This window comes from Homo sapiens, chromosome 18 (genome assembly GCF_000001405.40).
Source record: "Homo sapiens chromosome 18, GRCh38.p14 Primary Assembly".
Taxonomy (NCBI): domain Eukaryota; kingdom Metazoa; phylum Chordata; class Mammalia; order Primates; family Hominidae; genus Homo; species Homo sapiens.
The window spans coordinates 58,920,778-58,946,692 of NC_000018.10; the positions used below are offsets into that span (position 1 = coordinate 58,920,778).

The 25,915-nt window shown below is 41.9% G+C and overlaps 1 protein-coding gene and 1 pseudogene across 62 annotated transcripts in view; one reads left to right on the forward strand and one right to left on the reverse strand.

The window, feature by feature from the left end:
- Positions 1-25,915, forward strand: part of ZNF532 (zinc finger protein 532) — a 123,557-nt gene that overhangs the window by 57,854 nt on the left and 39,788 nt on the right. For 42 of the 62 annotated variants that reach the window (NR_148459.2, XM_047437584.1, XM_047437592.1 and 39 more), the window contains 2 exons: positions 13,656-13,837; positions 18,668-18,844. The exons of 13 other annotated variants lie outside the window; for them this stretch is intronic. Coding sequence is in view for 45 of the 49 variants with exons in the window: in XM_047437584.1 (XP_047293540.1) it covers positions 13,656-13,837; positions 18,668-18,844 (359 nt within the window). In the remaining 4 variants the exon portion in view is untranslated. Of the gene's footprint in view, positions 1-10,868; positions 10,979-11,609; positions 11,732-13,655; positions 13,838-18,667; positions 18,845-25,915 lie in introns of those variants that run through there. 7 more of the 62 variants (NM_001353533.2, NM_001375913.1, NM_001353534.2 and 4 more) reach the window with 3 other exon arrangements.
- On the reverse strand, positions 5,420-5,519 carry RNU2-69P (RNA, U2 small nuclear 69, pseudogene; annotated as a pseudogene).

Consider the following 25,915-nt stretch of genomic DNA (forward strand, 5'->3'; position numbering starts at 1 on the left):
GTGTGTGTGTGTGTTTGGGGAGGGGAGGGGGAATGCCTGTGCAGCCGGGCACATGATCCAGTAAGGATTGTTTTCATAGAATAGAAACAATTAGCTGGGGATGTGGTGGTGGCAGTGGTGTTGGAGGTGGTAGCAGGAGTGGTAGTGGCAGTGGTGGTTGTGGTTGTGGCAGCAGTGGCGTGTGCCTGTTGCGCCAGCTATATTCGGGAGGCTGAGGTGGGAAGATTGCTTGAGCCCAGGAGTTTGAAGCTGCAGTGAGCTGTGATTGAGCCACTGCACTGTAGCCTAGCATTGGGGCGAGATCATATCTCTTTAAAAAAAAAAGAACAGAAACAATGTTGAAACATGAATCTTATTTTAGTAAAACGAGTTTTTTGAGGGGAGGATAATATATATATACTAGTTGAGTTGTGGAACTTTAGATTTTGGTAATCGTTTGGTCATTGGAATGTATATTGAAAGTCTGAGATTTAGCGGATTATAGTGTCATCCCATTGTATTAAGTATTTGAGCCCGGCTTCATCATCAGAGCTCCTGAGTTAGTGACAATTTTGATATTTAGAAAAATACTTACTGTTATTTATTTATCTATCTGCTGGCAGCTCTACTGAGCTTACTGTTGTTATTTATAATGCTGATCTTACTTTTACAGTTAAATGCATTTATCAGTACCCATTTCTGTGGCATGTCTGCTTACTTAAGATGGTGGTCCAGAAGTGTGTTCAGTAATATCCTTCACTGCAATGAATTTAAGCCACAAATGGCAAACCCATCTCCAATTAAACAGAATACCTTTGTGTGTGTTTGCAGCTTTTGTTTTGTAGTGAAGTGCAGGTCAATGTTGGTGAATTACATTTCACAGTGGGCATCAATCAGCCTTTTATCTCCATCATTTGCTACTTCATGAGGCAACTTTTAGCTAATAGATAAATGTGTTTATCATAAATATATAATCTATTATTTGGAAGTAATTAGACATGTTGAATGAAATAAATTCGAGTTAGACCATGTGACATATTGTCCAAACTAGAAAGCTTGTGAAATTTCACTGGGCACAGTGGCTTATGCCTGTAATCCCAGCACTTTAGGAGGCCGAGACAGGTGAATTGCCTGAGCTCAGGAGTTCGAGACCAGCCTGGGCAACATGGTGAAACCTCATCTCTAACAAAAATACCAAACATTAGCCGGGCTTGGTGGTGCATGCTGTTGGTCCCAGCTACTTGGGAGGCTGAGGTGGGAAGATCAGTTGAGCCTGAGAGGTGGAGGTTGCAGTGAGCTGAGATCATACCACGGCACTCCAGCCTCAGGTGACAGAGCAAGACCCTGTCTCCAAAAAAAAAAAGGAAAAAACTTGTGAAATTCAAAGGGAGCACTAGTTTGAGCTAATATACTCTGCTCCTCAAACATCTCTATAAAGATTTAACAGTAAACTGGGCTTTCCTTTTTTTCTCCCTCCAATATTTTGTTAATTAATTAGGATGTTTATGCCGCAATTCAGAAGTTTGGTGCTATCTTGGTGATTAGTTCCTCAGGGTAATTACTGGTTTAAGTTCTTTGTAGCATTTTCAGTTTGGGGAACAAAAGATCAAGAATACCCCGGTAATTTTTTTATCTGGTTTTTCAGTTCAGTGGAAATGGAAGCAATAAAGAGTTTTGACAGCATTCTTGCAGGTTTGAATGTTAAATGTTTCATTGGCTCTGGCAGTAAAATGCTCAAAAAATAGGAAAGCAGCAACTTAGTTCAAGAAGGCTATGATGGCTCCAGCTGTTAACCTAGCCCGGTGACAATGCCTGGGTTCTGTCTACATGGATGTCCTCCCATCTTGACACCGCTTCATCAAAGGATAATATTTCTTTTCATCCTAACAGGATGCAGTAAAAAAGGGGAAAAAGCCAAAAAGCTCTTTCTTCATTTCTGTTGTCTTCGTGTCTGTGTCTGCTGGTGGGCTGTGTAGAGCGGTCGACTGTGTCCTGGCTTAGGAGGGTTCTCACTATGAGCTGTGTGCTCTGTATCTGGCCTTTGGAGCTACCCTCAGATGTGTCTGTCTGAGACCTCCTTCTCTGAGAGCAAGGAAGGGCATGAGCAGGCGGGTAGGAATGTCCTTATTCCCTGCGTTTCCCTAGTTTTTGTTCTTTATTAACCTTTTAGGCTCAACAGCCAAACTAGGGTGAAACGGGTGAAACTCTGTCCCCAGGAGGAGAGATGAACATCTTTTCTTTTGTGTGTGGTTGCTTTGGCATCACTTTTGTATCTTGCTGGGACGAGTACGCAGGTCACCCGTTTGACGCGGAATCCCAAGGAGTGAATCAGGGCAGAATGTATATTTAACTCTCAGACCAGATACACACAAGCAAAACACTCACCTCCTGATCTGTTTCCGTTTTGCAGCCATCCACTCACCTATGTAGGCCACTCAGCTCACCAGCGAAGGGCGTTGGTTTGTAGTGAGCTTCAACCCACTGCATAGCCAAGCACTGCAGGACCAGCAGTGTGAAAAGGCCCCATAGCACGCTCTCCTCCTGTTCCTCGTCTCCCCTTTCTCACTGGATCTAGAATGCTTCTTCACAGCTTCCCATTTTCCCAGACTCAGCCAGACTGTGTCACTCAGACCCAAGAGGGGAGTGTGGCTTCTGCCTCAGTAGGAATAGCTGCTGTGTCTTCAGCATTCATGGTTTAACCCAACCTGGAGTCTCTTCCTTGGTTCTAGGGGCTCAGTAGGATGCCTGTGGCTGTTGCCATCCTAGCCTCCACATGTGGCCATGGGGGTTCTCGACCATTACTGTTGCCTGGGGTGCTATCCAGCAGCCATGGGAGTGGGAGGTGGGGGCTGCAGTAAGACAGGGAGAAAAGAAAAGAGAAAATAGCCTTTGTTTCATCCTTCTCGTTTGCCAGTCACATGACTGTTGGCCAGTTTACAGTTTGTTCAACTGGAATGGGAAAAAATTACACAGAACTTGGTTTCTGTCTGAGGATGGCACTTAAAACACACATGACTGCTTACAAATCTAGAAATGGACACGGGAGCCTGAAGTACCGGCAACTGTGCCAAGCCCCTCCTTTCCTCTGTTGTACAACATATTCCATATTTTTTTTTTTGAGATGGAGTCTCACTCTGTCGCCCAGGCTGGAGTGCAGTGGCATGATCTCGGCTCATGGCAACCTCTGCCTCCTGGGTTCAAGTGATTCCCCTGCCTCAGCCTCCAGAGCAGCTGGGATTACAGGCACACATCACCGCATCCAGCTAATTTTTGTATTTTTAGTAGAGACGGGGTTTCACCATGTTGGCCGGGCTGGTCTTGAACTCCTAACCTCAAGTGATCCACCCGCCTTGGCCTCCCAAAGTGCTGGGATTATAGGTGTGATCCACCCCCGCCCGGCTAGCATTCCATGTATTTTAACACTTTAACTCCATTTCCCCATTGACCTCCACATTCTTGGTAGCTCATGGGTGAATTGGAAGAGTATACCAGTCTACACTGTAACTTTTTTCTGGTGCTCACACCCTGACCTGTGCTTTCTGGGGTAGGAACCCAGTGCAGTTTAAGCCTGTGCCTGTGGCTCTGGGGCAGGATGCCCTGGGTCTGCACATTAGTGTCTAGTTAGTCTAGTCTCATCACCCGAAGTGGATTCCTGAACCAACCTTGCTGCCACTGTTCATGGTTCAGAAGGTGTAAAGGGTATGGCCTCTGGGGTCCTTGCTAGACTGGCAGGTCCATCGCCCTTTACTCAGTGCCTTTCAGCTCCTTGGTTTACTGGGTCTGGAGAAAGGTATGACTTCATTAGCGGAGGGACCTCCTTCCCTTTTTCTTTTGAGATAATTGTAGATTCATGTAACAAATAATACAGAGAGAACTTGTATACCCTTCATCCAGTTCCCCACAATGGTAACATCTCACAAAACTATAGAACAGTATCACAGCTGGGACATGAGCGTTGACTCAGTCAAGATACAGAGCTTTTCCAGCACTACAAAGATCTCATATTGCTCATTTATAGCCACCCACAGCCTCTCCTCACTCCTTAACCCCTGGCAACCACTAAGCTGTTTTTCATTTCTATAATTTTTTCATTTCAGGAATGTTACATAGATGGAATCATATAGTGTATAACTCCTTAGGATTGGCTTTTTTTCACTCAGCATAATTCCCTGGTTGTTGCGTATATCAATAGTATATTCCTTTTTATTGCTGAGTAGATTCCATTGTATGGTTATACTATAGTTCATTTAACCATTCACTTGTTGAAAGACATCTGCATTGGATCCAGTTGGGGGCTATGATGGATAAAGCTATTATTAACATTGTGTATAGGTTTTTTTGTGGACATAAGTTTTTATTTCTCTGGGATAAATGCCTATTTATCATCAGAGTATAACTGCTGTTTTACATGGTATTTGCACGTTTAGACTCTTAAACTGTTTTTCAGAGTGGCTGTATCATTCTATATTCCCAGGAGCAACACACGAGGGATCCAGTTTCTCTGCATCCTCCAGCATTTGGTGCTGTTACCATATTTTATTTTAGCCATTTTGATAGATGTGTGGTATTATTTTATTGTGGTTTCAATTCATGTTTCCCTAGTGGCTAATGATGTTGAACACCTTTTCATGGGTTTAATTTGCCATCTGTTTTTCCTTTTTGGTGAAATGTCTCTTCATATCTTTTGCCCATTTCTAATTAGGTTGTTTGCTTTTACAACAGATCAATTGGGTTTCACAAGTTCTTGATAGAGCCTAGATACTAGTCTTTTGTTGGCTATGTGGCTGCAAGTGTTTTCGCCCAGTCTATAGCTTGTCTTTTCATCCTCTTCTTTAGCAGAGCAAAAGTTTGTAATTTTCGTGAAGTCAAGTATATCAGTTTTCCATCTTATGACCTCTGCTTTTGGTGTCAAGTCTAAGGCATAGCTCTAGATCCTAAACATTTTCTTCTGTGTTTTTTTCCTCAACGTTTTATAATTCTGTGATTTACATTTAAGTCTGTGACTCATTTTGAGTTGATGTTTGTATCAGGTGTGAGATTTAGGTGGAGGGTCATTTTTTCCCCCAATACTTGGCCATTTGTTGAAGATGCTGTCATCCTCCAATGAACTGCTTTTGCCCCTTTGTCAAGTATCAGTTAGGCATTTGTGTGGGGCTATTTCTGGATTCTTTATTCTGTTCCATTGATCTGTGTGTCTGTCCCTCTACCAGTATCTACAGTCTGAGTACTGTAATTAGGTAGTCTTCAAGTCTGGTAGATGGATGCTTCCAATTTATTTTTCTTTTCCAAAATTGTTTTCACTCATCTAGTTCTTTTGCCTTTTCATATAAATTTTAGAATAATGTTGTGTGTTTCTGTAAAACAACTTGCTGGGATTTTGATAGGAATTGCATTAAACCTGCATATCAGTTTGGGGGAGAATTGACATCTTTACTATATTGAGCGTTTCAGTCCATGAACATGGGCATAGATTCATCATTTATTTATACTGATAAGAACAGATACTACACTTGTTCTTAGCCAAAAGGCCGATAAATGATTCTTCATTTATTTATATCTTTGATTCTTTGTTTTGTAGTTTTCTTTTCTTTTTGTTTTGAGATGGCGTTTCGCTCTTGTTGCCCAGGCTGGAGTGCAATGGCGCGATCTCAGGTCACGGCAACCTCCATCTCCTGGGTTCAAGAGATTCTCCTGCCTTAGCCTCCCGAGTAGCTGGGATTACAGGCATGCGCCACCATGCCCGGCTAATTTTATATTTTTAGTAGAGACAGGGTTGAGATGGGGTTTCTCCATGTTGGTCAGGCTGGTCTCGAACTCCTGAGCTCAGGTGATCCGCCTGCCTCAGCCTCCCAAAGTGCTGGGATTATAGGCGTGAGCCACTGTACCCGGCCTTGTAGTTTTCATCATATAAGTCCTGTGCATGTTTTGTTAGATTTCTTTTTTCAAACAATCATAAGTGGTATATATTTTTGGTGAGGACACGTTCATCACTAATAATTTTTATATATTTTTTGTGTATCCTTTGACTCTGTTGAACTCAGTTATTGGTTTCAGGGCTTTTTTTTGGATAGATTATACTGATTTTTCAGATATCAAAATAGCCTTGCATTTCTGGAATGAATCCCACTTGGTCAAGCTGCATATTTCTTTTTATATGTTTTGAATTATAATTGCTGCTATTTTGTTAAGGAGTTTTGCATCTATATGCATGTAGATATCCTTTTTTGTTCTGTTCTTGTTTGGTTTGAGATAGGTTGATACTCACTTTTTAAAGAATTGAGAAGTATTCCCTCCTTCAATTTTTCTGGAAGAGAGTGTGTATAATTGGTGTTAGTTTTTCTTTGGTAGAATTCTCCAATGAAACCATCTGGGCCTAGAGATTTCTTTTCTAGGGTTTAAAAAAATACCTGTTGGGCTGGTGGTGGGGGAATTGGCAGAGATCAAAATTTACCTTTGCTACTGGGCTTCTCTGACACCCACCATCTGGGTAGGGACGTTGGGACAGACAGCTCATTACAGTCTCAAGAGGGCTGAAGTCTTGGCTGCACCTCTACTTTGCACAGGTTGGGGTGGGGCCGTAGTGTTTTCTGTGGGATTTGGCTGGAGTAGACAGTGTTCCTTTAAAAGTTTTCTGTTTTCCTAGGCACTCGTTTCTTGGTGGTCGGCTACAGAGCACAGGCTTTTCTTGGGAATTTTTTTTTGTCTCTACCCATTGGCATTTTGGGTTGCTAGCTTCTTCAGCTCCAAATCTGGGATATATGAGGCGAAGAGAAACCCAGGGAACTGACTACCCTGTCATTCCTAGGGTCTTGAGATCCCTAGCTAACCTTTCACTCCACCTTTCAGAGTCCTTTTATGTTTGTTTTATATATAATGTTCAGGGTTTTGACTTGTACTTAATGGGAAGAATAGGGAAAGTTACTCTTATTCCATTTTCCTCAAAGTGGACGTTTTACTCCATGTTTAAAAAAGATCCTAATATACCTGTCCTGTCTTCAAGGAGAGATTGTGTAATTGCATTATTGTGCTCTGCCGGAGACTTTCAGACCCCAATCTCTGTTTTTGCAATTAGGCTTCCTGGGAGGGTCACTTTCCATTTGACTTCCTGGGATTTCTGTTGTCTCTGAATGGAAGACATTTTCTCCACCCAGTGTAAACTTCCTTTCTTAGCCCCGTCTTTAAAAGCAGTTAGGAGTGAGAATTGCGTCTTTTACCTTTCACATCTGGTGGGCTGAGCCTCTTTTAAGACCTTAAGAACGTACTTTTCTTGATTTAGCTCAGTCACTATCCCCTTTTTTATCTTTCTTTTTATATTTTATTTTTCCCTTGTTATCATTTTCTATTTTGACCTCTGTTTATGTTTTGAACAGAGCCTGTCTCAGTTTCCCCAGGGTGCTTCTCTGCACCCAGCAGAGGGTCTGTCTGCCTGTGAGCACCAGCTGGGGCTGTTCCTCCCACGCCTCTCACCACCTCCCCTTACGCATGCCTTTAGCCTTCTGAGACTGCCAGTATGCCATGGGTTAAAGGAAGGTTTGGGTGGCATTTGGTGCATTCTCTCTGCCAGTTGCTGCTGCCCCTCCAAGTGTTCTGTAGACAATCTATGCAGAAGTAACAATTGCCAGAGAGACTCAGAAGCACCACTTCCTTATGAACTGGTCTATGCTCAGTGACCCCCAAGAGCAGGTCTCTGGTAAGAGCTGTGTTGGAATATATGGTTTTAGCTCGAGGCTCTCTGCCATACATTCCCAAAGCTGTCTTGGGATTTGATCACACTCTGGTACACGATCTGGGCCAGGAACCGAAAGCCTGCTAGGCTGAGGTTAGACTGCCTGCGTGCATCTGCTTACCCCTTGGAGGAGACAGTGGCAGAGGGAGAGAGCCTAGAGGACTGAGGACCTTGTGGGGATCACTACCTTCCAGGGAGCATGGAATCAAGCAGTAAATAAAAACAGTTCTGAGCAGTTGACTCTTTAGCCATTAAATCTGCCCCAGTTAGGGGTTTGTATTCTGATCTATCTGCTTAATAATCTCTGCTTTGGGTTACGTTGAGAAAAGGGAGTGGGCAAGAGACCAGAGGAGCTTTCCTTTTCTCCATGAAGTATTTAAGAGCTGAGGACTGTCGTTTGAATAATTGATATTTTAATGTGTTGGGATGTCATTGCTTCACCTCCTCTTAAAACCATGTCTAAATTTAACCAACTACAGACTGGAAATGCTTTCTGTAACCCCTTAATTTTAAAAACCTGTTTTCTTCTTGTGGCATTTATATCAGCTGTAGAATCACAGAATGCTATAGGTCTTTTGGCCAGCCCTTTTATTTTACAATTGAAAAAACAAATGCCCAATTGGTGGCAGAGCTGGGACTCAAGGCAAAATTTCTGTATTGCTGGTTCATTCTTTCTGCTTCTCTAAGATGTTGAAGCATAGGCTCTTACAGCCGGAGGGACCTTAGGAATCACATAAGGATGGATTCTTGGGGTTACTTCCGAGTCACCTTCAAGAGTGTGGATAAAGGTGACATTTGCAGTGGTCCTCATTTTTGGGGATTGCTGGTTCACTTTAGTTTCAGGAACTTTCTGGGCATCGTTAATACAACATACTAACTGTATTCTCGTGAGCAGCCTCTGCTGGTTCTCATTTCTAGATCCCGCTCTGCTCAGACAGCTTCCTCTGGAAACCAGGGAGCTCATCTGAATTCCTCCCCTCCGCCGTCTCCCAAAATACCCTTATTAGCTGAAGACTTGTGACCCTTGGCTTTTGGTCCTGCTCTTCTAAGTGTTTAATTTAAATTTTGGTCAAGACTAGTCCTGTCCTAGTTTATATTTTAGTGTTACCAACCTTCAGTTTACCCGTATTCTTCAGTAATAAGCATGTAAGTAGATGATATGTGTTGGCCATATAGCTTTCTGTAAATTTGTTCATTTAACTGTCAACTCTTATTAGGGATTTTTTTGCGTAGCAGAATGATTTGAGGACAAAACCAGCACAACCAACTAGCTCTGTGAGCAAAAGGCATATAAAGCCATTTCTGCTGTATTTGCTTGGTATGACTTCCATTTAAGTGAGATCTGAAATGAAATGCTTTCTTTGTGTTCTCAGTGTGAAATTGGACAAAAGTGAAAGCCACAAAACAAACTGGTATACTTTATTATTTTTGTATAATTATACTTTAGGCAGAAGATTGTGGAACTTCTTTTAATGAGGTGAGAGTAATTTGCTTAGCATCTGGGCTGACTGTTAAGCTGGTATTGTTTCTGCCTTTAGCTCCAATGTTTCATGTTGGTGTAGGCTTTTGGTCTGTTTGAAATTTAAACATAAATATACAGCCATACGTTTCTCTAGCCTCTCTCACTCTCATGTACCTCTCCCAGGCTACTTTTCTGCCTAAAATATGAGCAAAAACACGTAGAATTATTTTTCTTATTACTCAGCTAATTCCTCATCTATAGAAAGAGGATGTCAAGCTTGAACACTCTCTGATTCCTTAACTGGCCAGAATGTACCTGGTTCCCCCTTCCCTGTAGCCTGCATTTGCATGCTATTGATCAATTTCAGTGACAGGATTGGATAGAAAAGGCTCAGTAAGAGTACCGGGCGCAGTGGCTCACGCCTCTAATCCTAGCACTTTGGGAGGCCAAAGTGGGCGGATTGCCTGAGCTCAGGAGTTCGAGACCAGCCTGGGCAACATAGTGAAACCCTGTCTCTACTAAAATACAAAAAAATTAGCCAGGCATGGCGGTGCGTGCCTGCAGTCCCAGCTACTTGGGAGGCTGAGGCAGGAGAATTGCTTGAACCTGGGAGGCAGAGGTTGCAGTGAGCTGAGATTATGCTGTTACACTCCAGTCTGGGCAACAGAGTGAGACTCCATCTCAAAAAAAAAAAAAAAAAAAAAGTACAGTCATCTTTTAGTTTCCTCAGGTGTTGGTTCTAGGACCCCCTTCAGATACCAACATCTGAGAATGCTCAAGCCCCTGTTATAAAATGGCATAGTATTTGCATATAACCTAAGCATATAACCTGCCTGTGTCCTTTAAATCATCTCAAGATTACTTATAATACCTAATAGTGTAAATATAAATAGTTGTTATACTGGATTTTTTATTGTTGTATTGTTATTTTTTATTTTTTTCCCAAATATTTTTGATCTGTGGTTGATTGAATACATAGATGCAGAACCTCAGGATACAGAGAGTTGATTGTAATTGCAAAGCGTGGAATGTGGGTACTTTTCGGCTTTATTTTCCTATAGCTTTCTAGTATTACCTATTGAAAAGTAATGTTTACTTTAAAAAGTAACAGTTTAACCGAGCAAATAAGGCTGCCCTAGAATAGAAATTAACTTTATTACCTAAGTACCGAAAACATTTATCCATTTTTAGATGACATAAGTAAAATGTCAAGACACACATAAAACCACTTAGGTGCCCTTTATTATGCTTTTTTCTATTGAAAAGGCAGTTACTGTCACATTAAACTGCTTTATCCTCTACTAAGTAGCTTCAGCTTGTGTAGTAGAGTGTTAGAATTTTAAGATATATTTTAATTTACTTGATTAAAAAAAGTAAGGAAAGTCAGTCATTACAGGCCACAAAGAGATCCTTGTGTGCCCTCATGCTCAAATACATCCCCCAAACCCAGAGGATGTTCATTATTTTCATGAATTCAAAGCATTAGAAAAGCTAATGGAAGATACTCCTTTGTGCTGTGAAAATGCATCACCACTATCATGGGAAACAGGGGATGACAAGTTTTCTGTAACAGGAACAGTGAATACAACTTGAGGGAGTACAGCTAAGCAAATGATGTCATGTGAGTTTAAAACTATTGATACCATGCAAGCATCAAGGAGGAGGATGTCTCCAACCAAAACAGCGTGTTTTTTTTCTCAGAATGGAATGGAGCCAGCACGGTGGCTCACACCTGTAGTCCCAGCACTTTGAGAGGCCAAGGCAGGAGGATGGCTTGAGGCCAGGAGTTTGAGAGCAGCCTTGACAATATGGTGAGACCCTGTCTGTACAAAAAAAAAAAAGAACATTGGCTGAGTGTGGTGGCGTGTGCCTGTGGTCTCAGTTATTGGGGAGGCTGAGGAGTGAGGATTGCTTGAGGCCAGGAGGTGGAGTCTGCAGTGAGCTGTGATCACGCCACTGTACTCCAGCCTGGGCAACAAAGTGAGACACTATCTCAAAACAACAACAATAATAAAAAACCCAAACCAAATGGAGTCAAGGAGTAGAGGAGGCAGGTGAATAAAGATAGAAATGTGGGAGTAACTAAGTGTCTGTACGTGGATATGCATGCATCTACAGAAACTAAAGGCAAGGTCTCTAGTGTCCAGCGTGATTCCCCAGTGACCATTTTCTCCCACTTCAGGAATTGCAAAGTATGAAAGCATTTTGATTTGAGGCTGTAGTCCCTATGCCTCCCTCTTTCTCCTTGTGCTTCTGTATCGAAAGTGGGTGAGGAGCCTCAGCTGATGGGAACGAGTGAGTGCAGAGTCCTACAGTTGGGGTGGGGAGACATGATGATGATACATTCCAATGAATTTAAGTAATTCCTTGTGCATCTTATATGTATTGTGAAGGATAACCATTTGTAGTATATCTTGATGAAAATGTGCAAATTTTTTTCAGGAACACTGTCTGCTTTTTAGATTTTCTTTCCATTTTCTACCGTTCTAAAGTAGTGCAATCACATTACTTTAGATAAAAGAGAAGCAGCAGGGGAGGGGACTCACCTCTACTCTGACATGCCGTGGTCATTGTTGGCATTCAGGTATATTTGCTAATGGTTTTCCCTGTGTGTTTTTGTTTATTCATTCATTATATCCCCACCCCACTCCTCGATTCCAGTTCAAATCCTGGTTCTTCCACTTAATAGGTATGGAGCCTTGGGCGAGTTTCTTAACTTTACTGAGCCTTCGTTTCCTTATCTGTAAAGTGGAGATGTTATCTGCTTCATAGGTTATGAGAATTAAATGAGATGATGTACTTCAATTTACTTAATGTATTTAAAATACCTAGCTTACCATTTGACTCATGGTAGGATGGGACCAATCTATATATTTTAATATAATATGTATATACACACACATGCATGTACGTGTGTATGTATATATGTATGTATGTATATAAATGTGTGTGTGTATATATATATATAAATGTTTTTTGACTTCTTTTAGTATAGAAAATGCTAACTTTATTCCCAAGTAAGTGCAAGACATTTTAAGATGCCTGTGGAAGTTCAGACATCATAATTCCCTGCCTGGGACTGTGTGAAGGTAGATAGAAGACTTTAGTTCACAGAAACAAATGGTTACCTGTGGTAATGTAGATGTTAACAGGATCTGTTATTAATGAATCTGTTGACTGGTTTTCCTTGCTGTGGCTTGTTCTAACCTTTGAAATATGTGTTATGAGAAAAGGGGTGCTATTTTTTTAATGATGCTAACTTCATTAAAGCTACCTGTAATGTTCTTATTTTGTGATTATAATAAACATTTTTTGGGATAAAATTTGTATTTTAGTCCTTTCAGGAGAAAATCAAGAAAGAATTTTCAAGTGAGTTTCCTATTTTTCTTAGTCTAAGTCACTCGGAAGTTTAAACCTTAATTTTTGGGCGTGCTTCAAAAACAAGAAGAATAAAAAAAGTCTTTTTAAAATTTCTTAACTGTTGTCAATATAAACAAATGCTTTAAATCTTAGCAAGAATCTATATTTTGAGACTTTCTTTGGCTTTAATACAAATTGTACATTTTAGAAGATGGTAGATAATTTGTGTTTGCACGAATGTCTGAAAGTATTTAAACACAGTTTATGTCATATGCTATGTGAGGTTTATTTTTGGGGTGGAAGTAATAAGTCCTCAGTTTATGTTTACTTTAAGTTTTTTTGGTTTTGTGTTTTTAAAAATATACCATGTTTAGTGCCTATATCTTAAGAGGATGAAAAACAGTGTTTTGGGTTTTCCTGGATAGTTACTGATATAGAGCCTTTTCCAAAGAGGATTTCACCCTTAATTTTATTTTATACATAATCAGATTTTAAGCTCTATAAAATTTTAATTTAATGTCTAAATTTGTATACTTGAACTTGAGTTCCTTGGTTTTAATTATAAATTATATCATGGCCAGATCATCCATTTAAAGGCCAATTTTAGTGCAAAAAGAACAAATAATTGCTGTAGCCATTCTTTTGCACTCCTGTATTTCAGATTTCAAATAACTGGTTGGTGAACAATTGGATTAGCTTCTAATTAATTTTTATTATTTTGGAGAAAGCTTTTTATGAATTGTGAGGACTGTGACTACTGTCAAGATGTGTATGCCTATAAACTTGTTACTATATATTAAAGTCTTTTGCTCACATAAATTTGTAAGAATACCTCTTTGCCCTAAGCAAAATGCAAAAGTAATGGAATTGGAACTCTGCTGAAACAGGTGTTTTTAGCTCATACTTTGAGACGAGCCTGACTAGATAGCACATACTGTGATTTTACAGGATAGAGAATTGTACGCTGGACATGTAACTTTCAAGTTGGCTTTTCCCTTGGGCTTAGAATCAATTACTGTAGTGTTTGAAATGAAGGATGTATAATTATCTGGAGGTTTAACCAAGGTTCTTTGCATATTAGAAAGTACTTAGTAGGACCAACCCTGTTTCCCCCTTTGGTTTGTTTAGAAGACTTGCACTATCTGCCAGATGCTGCTTCCTAACCAGTGCAGTTATGCATCACACCAGAGAATCCATCAGCACAAATCTCCCTACACCTGCCCTGAGTGTGGGGCCATCTGCAGGTCGGTGCACTTCCAGACCCACGTCACCAAGAACTGTCTGCACTACACGAGGAGAGTTGGTTTTCGGTCAGTATATCATTCACTTATGTGCAAGTAAAACTCGTTCACTTACAACCGCACAGCATTTTGAGTGGTTTGCACACACAGTTTTCTGGGTCATACGGTGATACCTCGATTAACAGATCCTCTGGGAACCTAGCTCGTTTGTAGAGTCCATCTGTTTGAATCCTCTTAATGTAATATTGGCCCTGCTGGTCCGCACAAAGTGGAGGGTCATGGGGCCTGTCCTTTTAGGCACACTCTTGCATGTGTGCAGGTGTGGCTTTGACTGTCAGCTTTGACTGTACCCTTTGTAGCAGACTTTTGTTATCATACTCTTTGCATTTTAACCCCTGCAAGAAAACTATACATTCCGCACCTCTTAATATTTCCCCTTCTCTAATGAAAACAGAAATAGTGCGATGGTCTTTTACTTTTATTTGGTCCACATTGAAAGATGGGGTGTATGTTCCAGCCTTGCACTCCAAATAACCTTCTCCTCCTCCCCACTCCTCCTCCTCCCCACTCCTCCTCCTCCCCACTCCTCCTCCTCCCCACTCCTCCTCCTCCCCACTCCTCCTCCTCCCCACTCCTCCTCCTCCCCTCTCCTCCTCCTCCCCTCTCCTTCTCCTCCCCTCTCCTTCTCTCCCTCCTCCCTTTCTCCTCCTCCCTCTCCCCCTCCCTTCTCTCCCCTTCTCCTTCCCTCTCCCTCCTCCCCCTTACTCCTCCTCCCTTCCTCCTCCCTCTCCCTCCTCTCCCCTCTCCCTCCTCTCCCTCTCCCTCCTCTCCCCTCTCCCTCCTCTCCCCTCTCCCTCCTCCCCCCTCTCCCTCCTCCCCCACTCCTCCTCCCTCTCCCCTTCTCCCTCCTCCCCATTTCCTCCTTCTCCCTTCTCCCCCCTCTTCCCCCCTTCCTCCTCCTCCCTCTCCCCCTTCGAGTTCTCTCATTCCTCCCTTGTCTCTTCTGCATATCTTCACTGTAGTCCCTTTTACTGTCCCTCAGGATTCTCAGATGTGCATTGTACAACATCTGGCAAATCTAATGTTAGCTAGTGTTGAATGATTATATATATGAACTTTTCTCTCCATCTTATGACCTTCCTGTGCCTTTTATATTTTCACTAAGAAGATTCCACCAAGGAAAACATGTCACTGATACACAGTGTCTTTGTTAATAGAGGTATTACTGTATTATATGTTTATCTTAACATTAAGTATTTGCTTACCTGGTAACTTTGTTAGATTGTTAATATGCAGTGATTTTTTTTTTCACCTGTAATAAATTATGTTGAATAAAAATGAAGTCCAGTTGGCATGATTTGATGGTTTTATTTAAGTTTAGGTTCTGGTATCATCAGTTCCTAGGTGGTTCTGCCCAGTTTTGCATTAAACAACACTAAGCTATGAGACTTAACTTCACATTTTATCTCATGCCTCCAAACTTGTAATGCACAAATGTTTTATGGATTGAGATCTAGCCTGGTGGAAACCTTTGGCTTGGAAATCAAGAAACCAGTTTTCTTGTACGACTTCTGCCAGTAACTAATTATGTGGTAATTCACGTATTCTTTCTGTGCCATGGTGCCTCTGTCAGTAAAATTGGTGCATTGTCTGCCTCCAGCTCCACTGGGATGTTACTGAGCAAAACAGGATAATCAAAGGTGCCCCAGATCTGCAAAGTCCATGCAGAATAATACTTTCGTTCTTGCCATCACGTTTTGAAACTATTATTAATGGATTATGTGTTTAATAATAGAAAGCAGCTCTGCAGCACTTCCCAAGTGCTCTTCTTTGCACTAATGTCAAATTTTTCTCAAATGTTTAGTTTTTCTAATAGAATGAAAGTTGATATGATTAAAGGAAATATGACTTCTTCAATTTTAGCTATTGCTGATATCTTTCCTAAATTAAAACAGAAGCTCCACATGCAGGCTGAAAGTAATCAACTCACTTGGGAAAAGACCATCCTTGCTCTTCTGTTCTTTTGCCCTACTCACAGAGTTGTTCAAATTCGGTATTTCAAATTGTAGATTTCAAGTTGTTAACCAAAAATTTTGTGTTAAGTGTAGATTTTTTTCTCCCTGGACTTGAGGCTATATGGGGCTGGTAAACAACGATGTGTTGTGAAGTTTAGTTCATGTTGACTGCTCCTTTAGAAGAGAGGAGCAATTTTAAACGTAATTCTTTTCCTCTGCTGCTTCATATGAGGGTCCAGGTTCATGTTTAAGTGGGGCTTAGTAGCCCCGTGGCCTTGTCATGTTTTTTGCTCCCTTTGGCTCTATAGTTACTCATTTTCAATGTGTCTTTTCTTTAGCCAGATGAGTCTAATGTAGCAGCATGGTTCCCACGCCTTACTTTGTCTCGTCTTGGTGCAGTGTGCCTTGCTGTCTCTCCTCTTGCTCATATTACATCTCCCAAATACTGATGGGTCATCCCTGGCTCCTGGTTAACTTGGTAAAAGTTATATATTGATAAAAGTCAAATATTTTTTCTGAATTTTCCTGCCTCTTGATACACTGGACTGTATATCTAGAAAGGGGAATGGTTATAGGATTTTATACTGTAAATATTTTTTTTAATTCAAAAAATAAAGAAACTTTATTGCTATCCAGAATAGGACTTCAGGATATTACGTATTTCTTAGTAGACAGGATTTTTCATAGCATTAAGATACTGCATGAGCCGTTTGAAGTCTGCCTTTCTTTGTCTTATTTACATCCCCCATTGGCCTCTGTTGCCCCCTGAAATGCCTCTTCTTCCTGTAAGCAGATGTTTTATGACTTTTTAAAATACCCTGCTTTCGTTTCTTACATTAAGGAGGGTTTCCCTTGGTCTCCATGGTGTTCTCTGGATTGAGTCATAGCCACTTCCTCTTGCTTCAAAAAATTCCATCTTTATTTTAGATACTTCCTTTTTATTTGCTGTACATTAAACCTTCCTCTCACTCCAAGTGACTTTAGGTAATTATTGCTTTTCTCTGTATTCCTTTTTGTCCTTCCTGGTTCTTTTGCTCTTTAAACACCATCTTTCTATCCTTCATGGGAAAATCTTCTGTTTATAGTTTATGGTGTGGTAGGTCCTTCAGTTTCATTAATTACCCATCTACTTTTGTTTTACATAATCTTCCTCTTTCATGGGAGTTGTAGGCTTCTAGGTTTGGGAAGAGCTAAAAATGATCTATTTTAATTCTTCTCATTTTACAAATGAGTAACTGGCCCAGAGAGGAGCATTAACCTGTTCAAGACAACTCAGTAAGTTAACCCAAAATAGTTTCAATATGCTTAGGTGGCTCTATTGCCTGAAATACCAGTTCAAGTAGATAGGCTAGAGAGGCTGTCCTTTTATTCTCTATTGTTATTTAGTGTTTAAACATAGCTGTTGCTGAACATAATGCCTTCAGTCACTGGAAATGCTAATGCGTTAGTTATGATTTTAACAGAATGCTTGCAAAGCTTAAATAGAATGCATACAATCCAGAACATGCCACTCCTGTGTAACTTCGGAAGCATCTCCATGATTCAGAAGGGAGGTTCTAAGAATAGAAGCATCTTAGATTGTCATAGAAGTCTTTGGACACTGCCCCCCGGAAACCAGGCCCTGTCTGCAGTCTTCCTTCCCTGGGTAGCTCACATCTGGGAGCACATATGTTCAGTTGTATTAGAGGTAAATTTCTGGAGACTTTTGTACCTGCAGAGAGACCACTCTTAAATAGTTTTCAGGTGTGAACAAGGAAGACTTGGTCATCAAGTGGAGGTGTAAGTGTTGCTTAGAGTCTTTGTGTGAAAAAGATGAGATAGAGGAGAAATGTATCTTAGATTTAAAGTTTGTCTTTGTTGGATTATATTTGAGCAGGGAATGAGCTAATTGTGAGATTACTAGAAATTCATAAAGTAAGGAGGTTAGCTAGACAATTTTTTTTAGAGATGCTGAATTTTCAGAGGTTTGTAATTCATGCAATTTCTTAAACAAATGCAAGTGTACTTAAATTTATTTTCTAGGAGACAAAACACCTAGGTGGTTGACCTTCTCTATCCTGTGGACCACCATGAACCCCACATACATTGACCACATCAGTGTGTACCAGGAAACAGTGGGCCGAGGCCTTGGAGCCAGAACTTCTTTGTTCCTCTCTGCCCCTCTGTTCTTGGCATGCAGGTTTAGACACTGAAGATTTCTTCCATTAGAAATGCTATTTGGGTCCTGGAGATGGGTAGGAAACTCAGGGCCCTGGTGCCAGAATCCAGCATATGTAACCTCTCCAAAAACAGTGGTCTGGAGATTTGACATCCATTCTTAAAAATGTTAAAGATGCTCCAAAAATAGACCATTTGAGTTTTATTTTTCTTCTTCATGATCTTTTCTCTTAAACATATAAAAATAGGCTGGGCATGGTGGTTTACACCTATAATCCCAGCATTTTGGGAAGCTGAGGTGGGCGAATCACTTGAGGCTAGGAGTTTGAGACCAGCTTGGCCAACATGGCGAAACCCCATCTCTACTAAAAATACAAAAAGTAATTGGGCATGGTGGTACACACCTGTAATCCCAGCTACTTGGGAGGCTGAGGCACGAGAATTGCTTGAACCTGGGAGGTGGAGGTTGCAATGAGCCGGGATCACACCACTGCACTCCAGCCTGGGCGACAGAGCGAGACGTTGTCTCAAAAAAAAAAAAAAAAAAAAAAAAAAAAACCCATAAACAATTAAGTTGATTTATAATAGGAAAAAAACTAAAATATACTTCCGAAGGGCCATTAAAAACCTAAAAGGGCTATGAAAGTGTGTTCATCTCACCCAGTTTTTGCAGTTACACGTGTGTTATGGTCTTGTGCTAATGACCGTGTGTTTATTTTTCTAACAGATGTGTGCATTGCAATGTTGTGTACTCTGATGTGGCTGCTCTGAAGTCTCACATTCAAGGTTCTCACTGTGAAGTCTTCTACAAGTGTCCTATTTGTCCAATGGCGTTTAAGTCTGCCCCAAGCACACATTCCCACGCCTACACACAGCATCCTGGCATCAAGATAGGAGAACCAAAGTAAGTCATACCGACTTTCAAGTTTTACTCCACTGCTTTATTAGCAATTTAGAAGCAAGGTAGTAGTCGTTCTATTGAATAACATTTACCAAGATCTGAAAAATTATGCAGCTATGCCAATTTTGATGCTTTATGAAATACAGCTCATAGCTCATCCAAATCTTTCTGTTCTTTCCAGGTAAAGACCTTGTCCAAAAACGTTACCTATTATTTATGCTCTTGTCACGAATTTTTGCTCAACAAGTAAATATTTATATTTTTTTCTTAAGATGAATTTTTTTTTTTTTTTGAGACAAGAGTCTCGCTCTGTCGCCCAGGCTAGAGTGCAGTGGTGCGATCTTGGCTCACTGCAACCTCCGTCTCCTGGGTTCAAGCGATTCTCCTGCTTCAGCCTCCTGAGTAGCTGGGACTACAGGTGCATGCCACCACTCCTGGCTAATTTTTTGTATTGTTAATAGAGATGGGGTTTCAAGGTGTTAGCCAGGATGGTGTCGATCTCCTGACCTCGTGATCCACCTGCCTTGGCCTCCCAAAGTGCTAGGATTACAGGCGTGAGCCACGGCACCCAGCCTCTTAAGATGATTTTTGACAACTCCTAGGAAAACTATTTTTTAGAAACCCTGTCATCTTTAAATTTTTCCATAGTTCCTTTTTTATAGGGTACACTTTTGCTTAAAAAGTAATATTTTTAAGATGAAGGCAACTTAAGACACTGGTTACTGAATTTAACTTCATAGCCAGTATAAGTCCCTGATTAGTAAATTTTTTTTTGCCTTAATCTTGCTCTTAATTTGATTGATTTTTGCTTTGTGGAGTCTTTAATAATGAAGCGGTTCTTTAGCAAAAAGGGGCTGCCTGCCTGCAGTAGGGGCAGCTTAACAAAGAGGAGGGAGTGTGGGCACTGGAGCCGGTCGGAATCCTGCCACCCACCGGCTGGGTGACCTGGGACCTGCACTGTCTCAGCGGCCATCTTCTCCCCCATGAAGTGAGGGTCCTGCTTAAGTGAGGATGAGATGAGATGATGTATTTAAAATGTGTAGCACAACAGTGCCTGTGTCTGGAGCATGGAGGGCTCTGTCAGCATTAGTTCCTTCCTGTGTGTCTTCGCTCCCTCCTTGTGCACACAGCACTGGATTAATGCTCCTGGTTGTGCTCCTTTTATTCCTGGATTAGTTATCGCAACATAGAGTTTGATCATTACAAGAAGCTAGATTTGCTGTCCAAATCTGTTGCTGTGTTTTTGCCCATAACTCCATAATTAAGGAAGTATTAGGGGGAAGATACACAGCTATGCCATATTTTACACACACACACACACACACACACACACACACACACTCTTTCTCTCTCTCTCTCTCTCTCTCTCTCTCCTGGCTTTTGTTGAAACATTTAGTTTTGGGGAAATGTGATTGAATACTACAGAAGTGACTGTTTTATCAAAAAAAAAAACATGTTGAAGTTAAATTTTATTTTAGTAGGACCTTCATTCTGATCTTTGTAGGTTGATCCCAAAATGAAACACATTACAAATTAAGGAATCCATACATGTCTTGATGTCTTGACTCTGAAGATGGGGATTAGTGAATTTTAGTGTCTTCAGTTTTCAGGACTGTTAGACTTGTGGGTACTAATGTAGCCTTTCCCCCTGGGATGAATACAGTTTTTATTTGGTTCTTTATTAAAATAAATAAAATTTGATTGTCAGAAATGTGTGTGACATCTGGAACAGTAGTTGTTACCTCAGAATGTAAGGAAGCAAATGATTAAAATAGGCTAAAACAGTTTTCTTCAAATTTGGGTATTGTATAGAAAACAATTATTCCAGTGGTTTCTTTTCTCTCTCTCTCTTTTTTTTTTTTTTTTTTTTATGAGACAGAGTCTCATTCTGATCCAAACTGGAGTGTGATCACACCTCACTGCAGCCTTGACCTCCTGGGCTCAGGTGATCCTCCTGCCTCAGCCTTTCTAGTAGCTGGGACCACAGGTGCACACGCATACCACCACGCCTGGCTGATTTTTAAGTTTTCTGTAAAGATGGGATTTTGCCGTGTTGCCAAGGCTTGTCTTGAATTCTTGGGCTCAAGCAGTCCTCTCAAAGTGCTGGGATTGCAGGTGCGAGCCACTGCACCCAGCCCCAGTATTTTCTTTTCTTTTCTTTTTTCTTCTTTTTTTCTTTTCTCTTTTCTTTGTTTCTTTTCTTTTTTCTTTTCTCTCTTCCCCTCACCTCCCTTCCTCTTTCTTTCTTTTCTTTCTTTCCATCTTTCTTCCTTCCTTTTCCTTCCTTCCTTCCTTCCCTCCTTCCTTCCTTTTCTCTTTTCTTCTTTCCTTTCCTCCCTCCCTCTCTCCCTCCCTCCCTCCTTCCCTCCTTCCCTTCCTTCCTTCCTTCTTTCTTTTCTTTTCTTTTTTTCTACCCCCGCCCCCCCCTCAGTCTCGCTGTGTCGCCCAGGCTGGAGTGCAGTGGCACGATCTCAGCTCACTGCAAGCTCCACCTCCCGAGTTCAAGCCATTCTCCTGCCTCAGCCTCCTGAGTAGCTGGGACTACAGGCGCCCACCACCACGCCTGGCTAATTTTTTGTATTTTTAGTAGAGATGGGGTTTCACCGTGTTAGCCAGGATGGTCTCGAACTCCTGACCTCGTGATCCGCCCACCTTGGCCTCCCAAAGTGCTGGGATTACAGGCGTGAGCCACCGCGCCTGGCCCCTCCCTCCCTCCCTCCCTCCCTCCCTCCCTTCCTTCCTTCCTTCCTTCCTTCCTTCCTTCCTTCCTTCCTTCCTTCCTTCCTTCCTAAGTGCAAGCCTAAAAATAGGTACTGTATTTTAAATTATAAAAATGAAACAAATTTGTAGAAGAAGTGGTTAACAAAACTCCAAAGCCAGTGAAAGATAAGTTAATCGCATGGATTCAGTGTGAGGGCTGGTCTGGCTGCCTGGAGCCCTCACCCGCAGCCTGACTGTGGCAATGACGGCTGCTGCACCAGCTCTGTTGGGCCCAGTAGGCCTGTACTGCAGTGTTCCCGGAGATAACCCTCCCTCACCCCCTTTTCCAATTAAAACTAAGGTAAAAGCTTTCATCCTGTGGCTGTTTGGCCTACATTTGACCCAAAGGTTTCTTTTGGCATTAAATCCATCTCTATTCTGTTTACATAAGTCCAAAATGACTAAATAGTCCCAGCTCAGGCAGTGAAATTCCCCAGCAGTATTTGTTTAACAGGTGGTTATACAAATAACATAAATGTATGCAAATGATTTGCATTACTTTTTTAAATGATCAGTGTTAAAATAACCTCTCACCCGTTTTTCTTAGAGAACATATGGATGTATGAAAAAATACCCAGCATCCCAGTTCAAAAAGCATGGCACACGATTGTTGTTTAATTTACTGCATTTACTCTGTGCTGGGTACTGTTGTAAGCACTTTGTTTCTTGTTTTCCAGTGTGTGGGCAGGCATAGTACCCTGCTGTTTAAAAGGAAACTCTGAGTACCCCTTAATCTTTTCTGGATAATTTGAGATCATTTTGACTGTCCATTACTATATCTTTTTTTTTTTTTTTTTTTGAGATGGAGTCTCGCTCTGTCACCCAGGCTGGAGTGCAGTGGCGCGATCTCTGCTCACTGCAACCTCCGCCTCCCGGGTTCTCGCCATTCTTCTGCCTCAGCCTCCTGAGTACCTGGGACTACAGGCGCCCACCATCACGCCTGGCTAATTTTTTTGTATTTTTAGTAGAGCCGGGGTTTCACCATGTTAGCCAGGATGGTTTTGATTTCCTGACCTCGTGATCCACCCACCTCGGCTTCCCAAAGTGCTGGGATTACAGGCATAAGCCACCGCGCCCAGCCTTTTTTTTTTTTTCCTTTTTTTGAGATGGAGTCTCGCTCTGTTGCCAGGCTGTAGTGCAGTGGCGCAATCTTGGCTCACTGCAACCTCCAACTCCCTGGTTCAAGCGATTCTCCTGCCTCAGCCTCCTGAGTAGCTGGAATTACAGGCACGCGCCACCATGTCCAGCTAATTTTTGTATTTTTAGTAGAGATGAGGTTTCTCCATGTTGGCCAGGAGGGTCTCGATCTCTTTACCTTGTGATCCGCCTGCCTCAGCCTCCCAGATTGCTGGGATTATAGGTGTGAGCCACCATGCCTGGCCTATATCTTATGGTAATGAAGTTTTGTGTCTGCTTCTATTTTTTCCTTGACTGCTGATTAACAGCAGTTTCTTTTGCTGTGCCTTCCTTTTATTTGCAATTTCTAAATGTATGTAAGTGGAGAAATGAGAACTTCAAAATAAGAATTGTATAAGAGACAAGAGTTTTTGAACATGTTCCTGAGAAGTAAAACACGCAAAATTAGAATAGCAGCATGAGAGAGGAGTATGGAGTCAGAGGAAGCTGAATTTGAACTTTAGCCCTAGAATCTGTTTAACACCAAGCAGATTATCTAGTCTGCTAAGTCCTGGTGTCCCATCTGTGAAATGGCAGCAGTGTCATCTACCTCACTGTGGCTGTGGGGATTAGGTGTATGACGCGGAGGGTGGTGCTTTGCCCCTAGTTGGATTCAGTTGATGGTAATGTAGGAGGTTTATGGCAGCAATTTCAAAGCTTGGAGTCTTTTATTTATTTGTTGTGACACCTGTTTGAAGTATTCTGGAGAGTTTGTTGCTGTAAATTTGACCTGAGTATGGGTATTTGGTTTTAGCTTTTTATTCTTTTCTCTTTCTCCTTCCTTTCCCGCTCCCCCTCTCCTCCTCTCTCTCTTCCTTCTTCTCCTTCCCGTACTGGCTTTGTTGTGGTGTAGTCACCCTGCTACTCATCCGATCTTGCATTTAGGATTAGGTCCAGACTTCCAGGTTTGGCTTTCAAAGCCCTGCACAACTCTAAAGCACCCTCTCTGGCCACTCCCACACCCCTGGGAGTCCAGCTACACTGGGGTTCTCACTGTTTCCTAGCACACGGTGCCCAGTAGACCCCTGCCTTTGTGCAGAGTGGTCTCTCCATCTTGAATGCTGCCCCTCCTCTCTGCCTGGTAGCCGGTCTCCCTGGGGATTTTCCATTTTCATTGGAGAGTTTGCTCCATCCTCAGATTCTGCTCCTAAAAGACATGTCTGTGAGGTTTGTCGTATTTGGACTTTAAAAAAAAAATCAGCTGCAGTTTGTAATGGATTTTATCCTACAAAAAAGCTGGAAGAACATGGAGAGAACGCATGCATCTTTGCATCTTTTTCCCCCAGATTCCTCGGTTGTTAGCGTTGCAGTCATTGGTCTGTCTCCCTCCCTGCTTTGTATTTAGGAGGAAAGGGGGACCATGATGTAAATGCTTTGGTGTGTTCTGCTCTCTTCCACAAAAGGAACTTGTGTAAGTAACCTCCGTGCAGCCCCCCAGTCAGGAAGTCATTGTTGATTACAATACCATCCAATTCATTGACTTCATCCAGATTCCTCCCAGTTGTTATGCGTGTCTTTCTCCTCTCTGGTCCGAGATCTTATCTGGGTGTACATTTTGGATTTACTTGTGCTGCCTTATCAGTGTCCTTCCGTCTGAAGCAGTTGCTCAGTGTCCCCTGTTCTCATGTCTTTGGCCGTCCAAAAGGGGACCCAGGCCTCTCCTGTGGCTGACCCTCACTTGGTCTGTCACTGCACTGTCATTGCTGGACTCAGGCATGTGCTCTTGGTGGCAATGCCTGGGCCGTGATGCCATGCTTTTCTCAAAGGATCACTCTGGGGGCAAGGGCGACATCCACCTGTCTTACAAGGTAGTGGTGATGCCACCCTTCATCATCGAGGCGAGGCAGTTTCTCCATTATAAAGTCACCATTTTCCCTTTTATATCTGTTAGTATTTTGTGGGGAGGGATTCTAATATTACACCAACAACCTGCTCAGCCTCCTCAGAATGATAGCTACGTAAATAGATGGTCTCCTGTTTTACACTTCCTGTTGTTAAGACAGCACGTCCAAACAACAGAATCCCTCCCCAAAGGAATGTAGCATGAACAAAATGAGCTGTGGCATAGCTGTGAAATAGTGATTTCTCAAAATGTGAAAATTGAGTTCTCAGCAATTTCTTAGCCTAGCTAGTAAATCTCAGTTCTTTTCTTGAGGCTATCCTTATTTATTTATTTATTTTTTTTTTTTTTTGAGACGGAGTCTCCCTCTGTCACCAGGCTAGAGTGCAGCAGCGTGGTCTCAGCTCACTGTAACCTCTGCCTCCTGGGTTCAAGCGATTCCCCTGCCTCAGCCTGCCAAGTAGCTGGGACTACAGGTGCACGCCACCATGCCCTGCTAATTCTTTTTTGTATTTTAGTAGAGACGGGGTTTGACCATGTTGGCCAGGTTGGTCTCAATCTCCTGACCTTGTGATCCGCCTGCCTCGGCCTCCCAAAATTCTGGGATTACAGATGTGAGCCACTGCGCCCGGCCAAGTCTATCCTTTTTAAAACAATTGTCCTATGCCAATTACAGAAAAAACAGGAAGTAGAGACAAACAAAGCAATAAAAATACATATACTATCATCCAGCAGAGATGCTGACAATCCTATGCCTTCTCTTTCTTTTCTATGCCCTTTAAAAAATGTGATCATACCATACATTCTATCTTGTTATCTTCTGTTTTAATTTGCATGAAAATCTTTCCATGCCATTGGTATAGGTCTGTGACATCATTTTAAAAAATCTTCATATAGTTTTTTTTTTTTTTTTTTTGAGACACAGTCTTGCTCTGTTGCCCAGGCTGGCGTACAGTGGCGTGATCTCAGCTCACTGCAACCTCTGCCTCCTGGGCCCAAGCGATTCTTGTGCCTCAGCCACCTGTAGCTCCCACACCCAGCTAATTTTTTGTATTTTTAGTAGAGATAGGGTTTCGCCCTGTTGCCCAAGCTAGTCTCAAACCCCTGAGCTCAGGCAATCCACCTGCCTCAGCTTCCCAAAGTGCTGGGATTACAGGCATGAGCCACCATGCTGGCCTAGTTTTCTATTTAACCACTTATTTATACTCTTGGACATTTGGGCCGTTCACAACACTAAGCAGTTTCAAACAGGGAGGAAGTGAACATCTTTGTCACACCTGCTACGGTTAATGATGACA